This window comes from Homo sapiens, assembly GCF_000001405.40.
Source record: "Homo sapiens chromosome 1 unlocalized genomic scaffold, GRCh38.p14 Primary Assembly HSCHR1_CTG7_UNLOCALIZED".
Classification (NCBI taxonomy): Eukaryota; Metazoa; Chordata; class Mammalia; order Primates; family Hominidae; genus Homo; species Homo sapiens.
This window is the reverse complement of record NT_187367.1, coordinates 83,779-97,222: the sequence shown is the minus strand read 5'-3', so window position 1 is coordinate 97,222 and position 13,444 is coordinate 83,779. Positions and strand designations below refer to the sequence as shown.

General features: G+C 34.7%; 1 protein-coding gene across 1 annotated transcript; it reads left to right on the top strand.

The window, feature by feature from the left end:
- Positions 1–338: 338 nt before the first annotated feature.
- LOC124905320 (methyl-CpG-binding domain protein 6-like) lies at positions 339–1,828 on the top strand (the record flags this gene model as incomplete). The annotated part of the gene is made up of 1 exon (XM_047442796.1): positions 339–1,828. A coding segment is annotated over one exon (768 nt), but the record flags the coding sequence as incomplete, so codon positions are not given.
- Between the last annotated feature and the right edge of the window lie 11,616 nt (positions 1,829–13,444).

The following is a 13,444-nucleotide window of genomic DNA, read 5'->3' as shown; positions in this document are numbered from 1 at the left end:
CAGGGCCAGGGACAAGGTCAGGCCAGGAAGGGGCCAGGGCCAAGGCAGGGCCAGAGATGGACTTGGAGGTGTCCTGGTCTGATTTGCCCTGCCCCAACGTTGGTCCAGCCCTGCTCTGGCACTTCCTGTCATGCCCTGTCCCTGGCCTGAGCATTGGCCCTGGCCCTGTCCTGCTTCTGGCCCTGCCCGGGAGTTGACCAGGCACTGCCATGGCCCAGTCCTGCATTGCCCTGCCCTCCTCTGCCCTGGTGCTACCATGGCCCTGCTTGGGCCCTAGCTCTGCCTCGACTCTGGACCTGCCCTGACTCTGCTCAGCCCTGGATCTACCCTGACTCTGCCTTGGTGTTGCCCTCCCATCTCTATGGCCTGGCTCTGGCCGTGCCTTGCACAGATCATGCTCTGCCCTGCGTGTCCCAGCCTGGGCCCAGCCCTCGTCCTACCACATTCCTGACCCCAGCCATACCCTTGTTCTGGCCGTGACCCTGCCGTGGCCCTCTCCTGGCCCTTCCTTGGTCCTGCCCTGCCCTTCCATGCCCTGGCCTTGCCCTCACCCTGCATTGGCCCTGCACTGGTCCTGCCCTGCCCTGGCACTGCCTTGGCCCCGGCCCTGCCTTCTCCCTGGTCTTGCCTTTGCCCTGCCCTGGCCTGACCCCAGGCCTACTGAGTCCATGAAATGGCCCTGGACCTGCCTTGCCATCGTCTGTCCTGGCCCTGTATTGTCCCCACCATGCTCTGGTCCAGCGCTTGCCCTGGCCCTGTTGCTAGTCCTGCCACTGTTATGGCCCTGCCCTGTTTTTGGCCATGCCCTGTGCTACCCTAGCCCTGCCCTGCCTTGGCCTTGGCCCTACCATGGCCTTCTCCTACCCTGGCCTGGCCCTACACTGGCCTTTTCTACTCTGGCCTTGCCCTTCCCTGGTCTTGCCTTGCCCTGGCCTTGCCCTGCCCTGGCCTTGGCTTTGCCTTATCCTGGTCCTGGTTCTGCCCTGACCCTGGCCTTGCTCTGGATCCTCTCTGGTTCTGCTTTCTCCCTGGCCCTGCCCTTGCTCTGGCCCTGTCCCTGGCCCAGCCTTGACCCTGACCCTGGCCCTGACAATCCCCAGGTCTGACACTGGCCATGCTTGGCCCTGGCCCCTCCTTTTGGCCCTGCCCTGGCCCTGCCTTGGCCCTGTGCTATCTTAGTCCTGCCCTGGCCCTGAACTCACCCTGGCCCTACCCTCACCCTACACTGGCCCCGCCCTACCCTGACCTTGCCCTGCCCTGGCCCTGCCTTTGGCCTGCTCTGGCTCTGGTTCTGCCCTGGCCTTGCCCTTGCCCTGGACCCTCCCTGGCCATGTTTTTTCCATGGTCCTTCTCTGGCCTTGCCCTTGCCCTGTCCCCTTTCTGGTCCTGCCATATTTCTGGCCCTGTCCTGTCCATGTCCTGGACCTGACTCTGGCCCTGGACCTCCCTGTCCCTGCCCTGCCATACCCTGGCCCGTTCCTTGCTCTACACTGACCCTGCCCTGCCTTGGCCCTGCGCTACCCTAGCCCTGCCCTGGCCTTCTGCTGACCCTGATCCTGCCATGGCCCTGGCCCTGCCATGTCCCTGCCCTGGCCCTGGTTCTGCCCTGCTTCTGGCCCTGGCCTTGGTCCTCTCATGTCCCTGGCCGTGACCCTGCCCCTGGATTTTCTCTGGCCATGACCCTGCCCCTGTTCTGTCCTATCCCTGGCCCTGTCTCAGTTCTGTCCTAGCCCTGGCCTTTCACAGTACTTTATGCTTAGTAAGGACTCCATGGTGTCTGTGAGTTGAATGTAGTGTTCATAGTATCTGCCAAAACAGAAAGAAAAAAAACAAAATATTTTGATAAGAAGTTAAGCTTTGTATATAATATGCCTTGAATTGTAAATGCCTGTTATTAGTTGTATTACATATAGGTCATGGTTTTGTACACATAACTCCAAACCATTGATACTGTTAAAAGAATATATGAATATATGAAAGAATGTATAAACGTAAGAATGTATCAGTATCTAATGACCTTTCCAAATTAATTTTTATTTTTAGCTCTATTAGATTTTTCTCAGTGTAACAAACGTTTATTCCTATGTAATTAAGGGCGTATTTCCTGTACAGAATATTCATATTACCTAATTGAAAATTATATGACACAAAAATATAATACTATTTTTAGGCCAGGCATGGTGGCTCATACCTGTAATCCCAACATTTTGAGAGGCCAAGTTTGGAGAACTATTTGAGTCTAGGAGTTGACCAGCCTGGGCAACATAGTGAGACCTTGTCCTTATTAAATAAATAAATAAATAGGTTGGGCACTGTGGCTCATTTCTGTCATCCCAGCATTTTGGGTTGCCAGTGCAGGAGGATTGCTTGAGCCCAGGAGTTTGAGACCAGCCTGGGCAGAATAGCAAGACTCCATCTCTACAAATAATAAAATATTAACCAGGTGTGGTGGTGCGCACCTGGGGTCCCAGCTACCTGGGAGGCTAATGTGGGAGGTTTTCTCGAGGCTGCAGCGAACTGTGAATGCACCACTGCATTCCAGCCTAGGCCACAGAACAGGACCTTGTCTATGAATAAAGAAATAAGTAAAAATATAAATAAAAATAAGTAAAAAGAAATATTAGTAAATATAAATATAAATACATATAAATATAAAAATGCATGCATGAAAAGAAACAATTTTTAAATTTAACATCACTGAGGGCATCCTATCCATTTCATTTCATGATTCCATTATGTCATTTCACTTAGATGAAATGATAAGATGACTTGAGATGAGATGAAATGATGAGATGAAATGACAAAATGATGAGATGAGATGAGATGATGAGATGAAATTTTGAGATGAAATGCAGAGTGGAAATGATGAGATTAAATGATGAGATGAAATGACAAAGTTGAAAAGAAATTGAAAGGAGATGAGATGAGATGAAATGAGATGAAATGATGAGATGATGAAATGATGAGATGAAACGAGATGAAATGATGAGATGAAATGAAATGAAATAATGAAATGATATGAAATAATGAAATTGAAATGAGATGAGATGAGATGAAATAATGAGATAAAATGAGATGAAATGAGATGAACGATGAGATGATATGATGAGATGAAATGAGATGAAAAATGAGATGAAATGAAATAATGAAATGAAATAATGAAATGAGATGAAATGAAATGAAATAAAGGAAATTATGAAATGTAATGAAATTGAAATGAAATTGAAATGAGATGAGTTGAAATGATGAGATGTAATGATGAAATGAAATGATGAAATGAGATGAGATGAAATGAGATGAAATAATGAGATGAAATGAGATGATGAGATGAGATGAAATCATGAGATGAAATGATGAAATGAAATGAAATGATGGATGAAATGATGAGATGAAATGAGATGAAATGTAATAAGATGAAATGAAATGACATAATGAAATGAAATAATGAAATGAGATGAAATAATGAAATGATGAAATAATGAAATGAAAATGAAATGGAAATGATGAGATGAGAAGAAATGATGAGATGAGATGAGATAAAATGAGATGAAATGATGAGATGAAATGAAATGATGAGATGAGATGAAATGAGATGAAATATGATGAGGTGAAATGACATAATGAAATGAAATGATGAAATGGAATAATGAAATGGAAATGAGATGAGATGCAATGAGTTGAAATGAGATGAAATGATGAAATGATGAGATGAAATGATGAGATGAGATGTGATGAAATGATGACATGAAATGATGACATAAAATGAGATGAAATGTAATGATGAAATGAGATGAAATGAGATGAGATAAAATGATATGAAATGAGATGAATGATGAGATGAAATGATGAGATGAGATGAGATGATGAGATGAAATGATGAGATGAACTGATGAGATGAAATGAAATTGAAATAAATAAATAAAATTGAAATGAGATGAGATGAAATGATGAGATGATGAAATAAAATGATAAAATGATGAGATGTGATGAGATGAAATGATGAGATGAGATGACATGAAATAATGAAATGAAATAATGAAATGAAATTGAAATGAGATGAGAAGATACGAGATGAAATGAAGTGATAAGATGAAATGATGAAATGATAAGATGAAAAGAGTTGATGAGATGATAAGATGAAATGATGAGATGAAAAGATGAGATGAAATGAAATGATGAGATGAAATGAGATGAAATGAAATGACATAATGAAACGAAAAAATGAAATAATGAAATGAGGTGAAATTGAGATGATGAAATTAAATGATGAAATGAAATGATGAAATGTTGAAATGAAATGATGAAATGAATAGATGTGACATGAAATGAGCTGAAATGATGAGATCAAATGAAATGAAATGAGCTGAAATGATGAGATGAAAAATGATGAGATGAAAAATGATGAGATGAAATGCTGAGATGAAATGAGATCAGATGAACTGAGATGAGATGAGATGAAATAATGAAATTAGGTGAAATAATGAAATGAGATGAAATAATGAAATTGAAATGAGATGAGAAGAAATGAGATGAAATGTTGTAATGAAAGGAGGAAATGAGATGAGGAGATGAAATGAGATGAATTGAGATGAAATGAGATGAAAAAATGATATCAAAAATATGAGATGAAATGAAATGAGATTATATGAAATGACATAATGAATTAAATGAAATTAGATGAAATGAAATGAAATAGTGAAATGAAATGATGAAATGAAATAATGAAAATGAAATGGAAATGAGATGAGATGAGATTTGATGAAATGATGAGATGAAATGATGAGATGATATGAAATGATGAGATGAGATGGGATGAGATGAAATGAGATAAAATGATGAGATGTAATGATGAAATGAAATGATGAAATGAGATGAGATGAAATGAGATGAAATAATGAGATGAAATGAGATGATGAGATGAGATGAAATCATGAGATGAAATGATGAAATGAAATGAAATGATGGATGAAATGATGAGATGAAATGAGATGAAATGTAATGAGATGAAATGAAATGACATAATGAAATGAAATAATGAAATGAGATGAAATAATGAAATGATGAAATAATGAAATGAAAATGAAATGGAAATGATGAGATGAGAAGAAATGATGAGATGAGATGAGATAAAATGAGATGAAATGATGAGATGAAATGAAATGATGAGATGAAATGAGATGAAATATGATGAGGTGAAATGACATAATGAAATGATGAAATGGAATAATGAAATGGAAATGAGATGAGATGCAATGAGTTGAAATGAGATGAAATGATGAAATGAGATGAAATGATGAGATGAGATGTGATGAAATGATGACATGAAATGATGACATAAAATGAGATGAAATGTAATGATGAAATGAGATGAAATGAGATGAGATAAAATGATATGAAATGAGATGAATGATGAGATGAAATGATGAGATGAGATGAGATGATGAGATGAAATGATGAGATGAACTGATGAGATGAAATGAAATTGAAATAAATAAATAAAATTGAAATGAGATGAGATGAAATGATGAGATGATGAAATAAAATGATAAAATGATGAGATGTGATGAGATGAAATGATGAGATGAGATGACATGACATAATGAAATGAAATAATGACATGAAATTGAACTGAGATGAGCAGATACGAGATGAACTGACGTGATAAGATGACATGATGAAATGATAAGATGAAAAGAGTTGATGAGATGATAAGATGAAATGATGAGATGAAAAGATGAGATGAAATGAAATGATGAGATGAAATGAGATGAAATGAAATGACATAATGAAACGAAAAAATGAAATAATGAAATGAGGTGAAATTGAGATGATGAAATTAAATGATGAAATGAAATAATGAAATGGAAATGATGAGATGAGATGAAATGACGAGATGAATGATGAGACGAAATGAGATGAAATGATGAGATGCAATGATGAGATGAAATGATGAAATGATGAGATGAGATGAGATGTAATGATGAGAGGAAATGATGAGATGTAATGAAATGAGATGAAATGAATGAGATGAAATAATGAAAGGAAATTGAATTGATATAGGAGATGAAATGAGATAAAATGAGATGAAATAAGAAATGATGAGGTGAAATGATGAAATGCTGAGGTGAGATGAGATGAAATGAGGAGATGAAACGATGAGATGAAATGAAAGGATGAGATGAAATGATGATATGAGGTGAGATGAGATGAGATGAAACGAGATGAAATGATGAAATGATGAGATGAGACGAGAAGAAATGATGAGATGAAATGAGATGAGATAAAATGAGATGAAATGAAATGAAGTGAAATGAAATGAAATAATGAAATTGAAATGAGATGAGATGAAATGAGATAAAATGATGAGATGAAATGATGAGAAGAAATGAGATGAAATGAGATGAGATGATGAGATGAAAAATGATGAGATGAAAAATGATGAGATGAAATGAGATGAAATGAAATGAAATAATGAAATAATGAAATGAGATGAAATGAAAAGAAATGATGAAATGATATTGAAATGAAATTGAAAGATGAGATGAAATGATGCGATGAAATGATGAAATGTTGAAATGAAATGATGAAATGAATAGATGTGACATGAAATGAGCTGAAATGATGAGATCAAATGAAATGAAATGAGTTGAAATGAGATGAAATGATGAAATGAGATGAAATGATGAGATGAAAAGATGTGATGAGATGAAATGATGATATGAGGTGAGATGAGATGAAATGAGATGAAACGAGATGAAATGATGAAATGATGAGATGAGACGAGAAGAAATGATGAGATGAAATGAGATGAGATAAAATGAGATGAAATGAAATGAAGTGAAATGAAATGAAATAATGAAATTGAAATGAGATGAGATGAAATGAGATAAAATGATGAGATGAAATGATGAGAAGAAATGAGATGAAATGATGAGATGAGATGATGAGATGAAAAATGATGAGATGAAAAATGATGAGATGAAAAATGATGAGATGAAAAATGATGAGATGAAATGATGAGATGAAATGAAATGAAATAATGAAATAATGAAATGAGATGAAATGAAAAGAAATGATGAAATGATATTGAAATGAAATTGAAAGATGAGATGAAATGATGCGATGAAATGATGAAATGTTGAAATGAAATGATGAAATGAATAGATGTGACATGAAATGAGCTGAAATGATGAGATCAAATGAAATGAAATGAGCTGAAATGATGAGATGAAAAATGATGAGATGAAAAATGATGAGATGAAATGCTGAGATGAAATGAGATCAGATGAACTGAGATGAGATGAGATGAAATAATGAAATTAGGTGAAATAATGAAATGAGATGAAATAATGAAATTGAAATGAGATGAGAAGAAATGAGATGAAATGTTGTAATGAAAGGAGGAAATGAGATGAGGAGATGAAATGATGAGATGAATTGAGATGAAATGAGATGAAAAATGATATCAAAAATATGAGATGAAATGAAATGAGATTATATGAAATGACATAATGAATTAAATGAAATTAGATGAAATGAAATGAAATAGTGAAATGAAATGATGAAATGAAATAATGAAAATGAAATGGAAATGAGATGATATGAGATTTGATGAAATGATGAGATGAAATGATGAGATGATATGAAATGATGAGATGAGATGGGATGAGATGAAATGAGATAAAATGATGAGATGAAATGATGAAATGATGAGATGAAATGATGGGGTGAAGTGATGCACTGTCACGTGTGTGTCTATTCTTTTTCCCAAGCAACAAAAATTATAATTCATTAATTTTAATTTTATTATTTAAGAATATTCTTAAGAGTTGAAGGAAAAATAATATCTGTACATTATGGGTTACAATCTAAGTATAAATAATACGTAAATATATTAAAACTTACAAAGAATATGTTTTGGAATCGAATATACCATGCTTCTGTGATGACAGTTATTTCATGCTGGTTGTCACAATTTTACATGAAAAACTAATGAAAAAATGTTTTTAACTGTTTCTAAAAATAACAGTTTCCAAAACAGTTTTACATTCGAAATATGAAAAAGATGTCTTTGTGTTCCTTAATCTGATGAGATTTTCACACTCTGCACATGATAATTGTTAGATTTTTATTGTGTTGATAAATTGTATATCAAATAAAAAATGTTATTACCTCTTAAATTAGGATTTTTAGGTGATATAGGCAGAAAGGACAGCAAGTTTTTATAACTTTGTCTAAATGAACTTTCTAAATGCCTGAGTATTAAAAGATAGCATGTCTATAAATCACAATGTATATATTACTGTATGACCTAGGACCAATCAAAACCGTTACCTCTGATAACATTATATTGTGCCCAGTATAAAATAGATATAATAATACCTCAAACTTAAATCCAGGCATTGTCATTGAATATCTTAAGAATATGCAACAAAGGTGCTTTTAAAAATACAAGCTAGTGATTGTACCAAATTTGTAAATCACATAGGATAGTGGGTCATTTTAAGAATATTAGTTATTTCAATCTATAAACGTGGATGTCTTTCCTTTTTTGTGTTTTCTTTAATTTCTTTCATTAATATTTGTCATTTTTGTTGTCGAAATCTTTTACTTCCTTGGTTAAATTTATTTCTAAGTACATTTTTGTAGCTATTGTAAAAGGAATTGCTTTCTTAATTTCTTGTTTCAGCTAGTTTACTATCAATATATAGAAATGCTACTGATTTTTGTATGTTGATTTATATCCTGCAACTTTATTAATTTCATGTATCACCCTAAGAAGCTTTTGGTAGAGTCTTATTTTTTTCCGTGTATAAGATCACATTGTCTTTAAACAGGGACAATTTGACTGTCTCCTTTCCAATTCAGATGTCCTTTATTTCTTTTTCTCACCTAATTGTCCTGGCTAAGACTTTCACTATGTGAAATATGATTGGTGAGAATAGGCATCCTTTTCTTGTTCCAGTAAAATCTTTTTCTTGTTCACAGTAAAATCTTTCACCTTTTCCACACTCAGTATGATCTTAGTTGTAGGTTTGTCCTTTATGTCCTTCTGTTTTAAGGCATATATTTTCTATACTAAATTGTTGAGAGGTTTTTTGTCATGTAAGAATATTTAATTTTGCCAAACGCTTTTATTGTGTTTATTAATTTAATCATATGGTTTTCAGTATATATCCAAAGGAAAGAAAATCAGTATATCAAAGACTTACCTGCACCCCCATGTTTATTACAGCACTATTCACAATAGCCAAGATGTGGAATCAACAAAAGTGTCCATCAACAGATGAATGGATAAAGAAATGTGACATACATATATAATGGAATACTATTTAGTCATAATAAAGAACAAAATCCTGTTATTTGTGGCAACAAGAATGCAAGTGGAGGGCATTATGTTAGGTGAAATAAGCCTGGCATAGAAACATAAACACCACATAACTACGTGTTCTCACTTATGTATGGAAGCTAAAATGTTTAATCTCGTAGAAGTAGATAGTAGAGTTTTGGTTACCATATCCTGGAAAGAGTAGGAGAAAGAAGAGTATAAGAAAAATGTGGTTAATACATACAAAATTACAGCTGGAGAGAAGGAAGAAGTTCTAGTTCTCTACAGCACTGTTGGGTGACTGTAGTTAACGGGAATTTATTGTGTGTTTTCAAATAACTAAAATAAAAGATTTTGAATATTCTCACTGCAAAGAATACATGATTTAAGGTAATGGATATGATAATGACTCTGACTTGATCTTTACGCATTGCATAAATATATCAAAATATCACTCTGTACCCCATAACATGCACATTTATTATATGTCAATTAAAGTAAATTTAAAAGAGAAAAAATGAGACAAAGGTAAATATACATAATTTAATTACTTTTTCTTCTATAGAACCCGAGTCAGTACCAAGAAGAGTCAATTTATTAGTTTTCTAAAATAAAAAAAATCAAAATCACCAAAAAAGAGCAATATCCAAGAAAACATTGAAAATGAAACACAACATTTAGTAAGAATAGAAAACTTGGGCACCGTATCACCCTGTTCCTAGATACCGATTTACTGATGGCCATTTAAATAGAATTTTATTCTATCTAATTCATTTATACTCCCAGAGTTCAAAATTACATTTTACCTACAATAAATGAGATAACACTTGTAAATTATATGGTACTCTGCCTAACACACGTTAATAACTCAATACATGTTAGCAATAAACTTTTAGTATAGTAGTCAAAGTATTAATTTCTCACATTGCAATTTCCTTCAAAGACATGAATACAACCTTTCTAATGACTCCTTGTTCATCAAGATACCTCTTCAAATTATTCTATTTGTTTCATTCAGTATATTATCTGTGTATACCGATATTAGACTCTTTTCTTTTTTTGAGATGGCATCTCATTCTGTTACTGATGCTGGAGTGAGGTGGCATGATCTCGGTTCACTGCAACCTCCACCTCCCAGGTTCAAGTGATTCTCCTGTCTCAGCCTCCCAAGTAGCTAGGACTACAGGTGCATACCACGATGCCTGGCTAATTTTTGTATTTTTAGTACAGTCAAGAGTTTCACCTTGTTGTCCAGGCTGGTCTCGAACTCCTGACCTCAGGTGATCCACCCACCATGGCCTCCCAAAGTGCTGGGATTACGGGCATAAGCCACCGCACCCAGCCTGATATTGCACTCTTGGATTTTGAACACTGAATATCTTTTTGAAAGATTACACCTCTTTACTTCTTTGTGCTTCAGAAATTATTTTCCTTCAAGTGTTCTAAGAGTCTAATGAAGAATGAAGTCATGTTTTATCACTTTTGTCCTTAAAGATTTCAGACATGCTGAAACTGATTGAAGTATCATTTGCTACTAGATAGATTAATTATCTCTAGTTGTAGGAGTGGATACATCTTTAATGGTATATTTTGGGTTATTATCTTATTTTTGATGCAGTATTCTATAAATAATTTATTAAACCTGGCATCCTTGGGTGAGCATAGATTTTTCAACTTTAGTGTTATACTGTGTTTGCTTTTAAAAACTGCTTCTGAGGCCAGGTATGGTGGCTCTTGCCCATACCCAGCACTTTGGGAGGCCAAGATGGGTGGATTACCTCAGGTCAGGAGTTCAAGACCAGCCTGGTCAACATGGCAAAACCATGTCTCTACTAAAAACACAAAATTAGCCAGGCATGGTGGTGCATGCTTGTAGTCCTAACCACTCGAGAGGCTGAGGCAAGAGAATCACCTGAACCTGGGAGGCAAAAGTTGCTAGGTTGCTGTGAGCCAAATTCGCAGCATTGCCCTCCAGCCTGGGTGAAAAGAGCAAAACTCTGTCTCAAAAAAAAAAAAAACCCACCAAAAACTGCTTTTGAATGGAGTTGTACATATAATTTTTATGAAAAAAATTAACAAGTGCATAAGTTCATAATAGAAAAACCAATAATACTCCAGGCACAAGTTAGTACTAAAAAAATTATGTTGAATATTCTCTAATACAACATGCTTTTTCCCTTCATGAACAATTTGTGTTTTACTGAGAAGAGTCATTGTTTATGGTAGACATTAGACTACAGATGAATATGTACTTTAAACACTCTTAGTTGCTTTCTTAATTTTATATCTGCTGCTTTATGCTTCTGTTTATTTTCATTCTTTCCAATGTCCACATTCTAGTAAATTTGAATATTTTAATCCAAGTTTATATACTATTTAATATTGCTTGTATAGTTTAGTATTTTTAAGACTCAAAAAGGTTTACAGAAAGAAGAAAAAGATCAACATGTTATTAGTCATTTAAAGATCATTTTGAAATCTTTGACCTTTATATTTTAATGAATAAAATATTAGTAGTTATTAGTATAAAATAATTTATGTCTTTTGGACTTAACATCCAGTATTTCTTTTTTAATAAAGAAAATAATTATTCTCTTGCAATGTACTATGTTTATCTGAGTTTTGAAAAGTGATGTTTCCTAATATGAGAAAGCCATTTACATTTTTAAATCTACAAGGGCAAATGGAATGGTACTAAATTATTTACATAATAATGTTTAGATGGTGGCCCTTATAACATTCTTTCTATACTTCCTACAGAGTTGGGGATATGCAATCCTAGAATATTTCTGGGAGCTAATCCTTTAGCTTGATGAATGAAACAAGACTTTTAAATAAAATTAAACTTTCAAATTATCCAGGTAATGGGCCTGTCTTTTAATTCAATGGATATGGAGCATAATGAATTAACCCCTGTTCATTGGGTAATAAGTTCTCATTCTTATAATACTCAGAATGTCCTTTAATTTTTAATTTTTGATAGTCATATCATTATCCCTAGGTATTTTAGCTTCTATCTTAAATTCTAAAATAATTTTGAAATAGGAGAAAGTATTCTTTATTACTATATGTATTAAACATCATGGTTTTCAAATTGAACTGCAAATGTATCTTTTCATTGCTTCTTGATGACACCCTTCACCCTATCCATATTGTCACTACCAAGTGGTGATTACTTCTCAGGTTCACATACTTATTCTTCAGAAAAATCTTCTCTGTGCCTTATAAAGAATATGATTGTTGGCATTCAAAAGCCAGCTAAGTATACATTATTAGCCTGTTGCCTAACTCATTTCTTTAAGAAACTACACTAATTACCCACATACTTATGTTTTTATTTCCTCATTATTTCTGGAGAAAACAAGTACTGTTAACATGATATTTGTAAGAGAGAAAAAAGTCTTTTCTTGAAAAGTGCTGTCATTGTAGTACTAACTTATAGTATCAACTTCTTTATAAACTCCTTTTACACTTTTTATTCTGAGAGAAATAAAAAAGCTAAAAGTCAAATGACTTTTTTTACTCTCCTTATTATAAGCACCCATCTTGGTAATTTAGGGTCTTTATAGTTAGGGTAAGTTGTGTCATACCGAGGTTACAAAATAAAAATTATTTTTTCTCTTTGGGCCTTTCCTTATTCAGTAATACTGTCAGTTTGGCTTTTTTTGTAGGTCAACTTATTGAACTCAGTATTCTGAAGTAATATGTTTACTATCTTTTGAGAAGCACTTAAAATATTAGATTTATTGTTACTCTTCTGCCTTTATTGGGCTGGAAGAATAATTGTTTCACTCCACAAAAGGCAAGTTGTGGAGAAAACCACATAGACATTCAACTGCAAAGCAGAGAAACTTGACTATTTTCTGCAATTTTAAAGTGTATATTGAATAAAACCATCTTTTTATTTTCTTTTTTGCTCACTGGCAAATATTAACAACATCAAGTGTATTATTATAATGTTATCTAGTTAAAAATCTCAAAAAGTTTTCATAATTACCATTTTAAAATATATAAATAGGTGACCTAATGTTAATTTTTATTGTCTGAGACCATGTCTGTTATTTCACTCTTTAAATTCAGTTAGTAATGCAGAACCTAGCACTTAGTAGATACTCA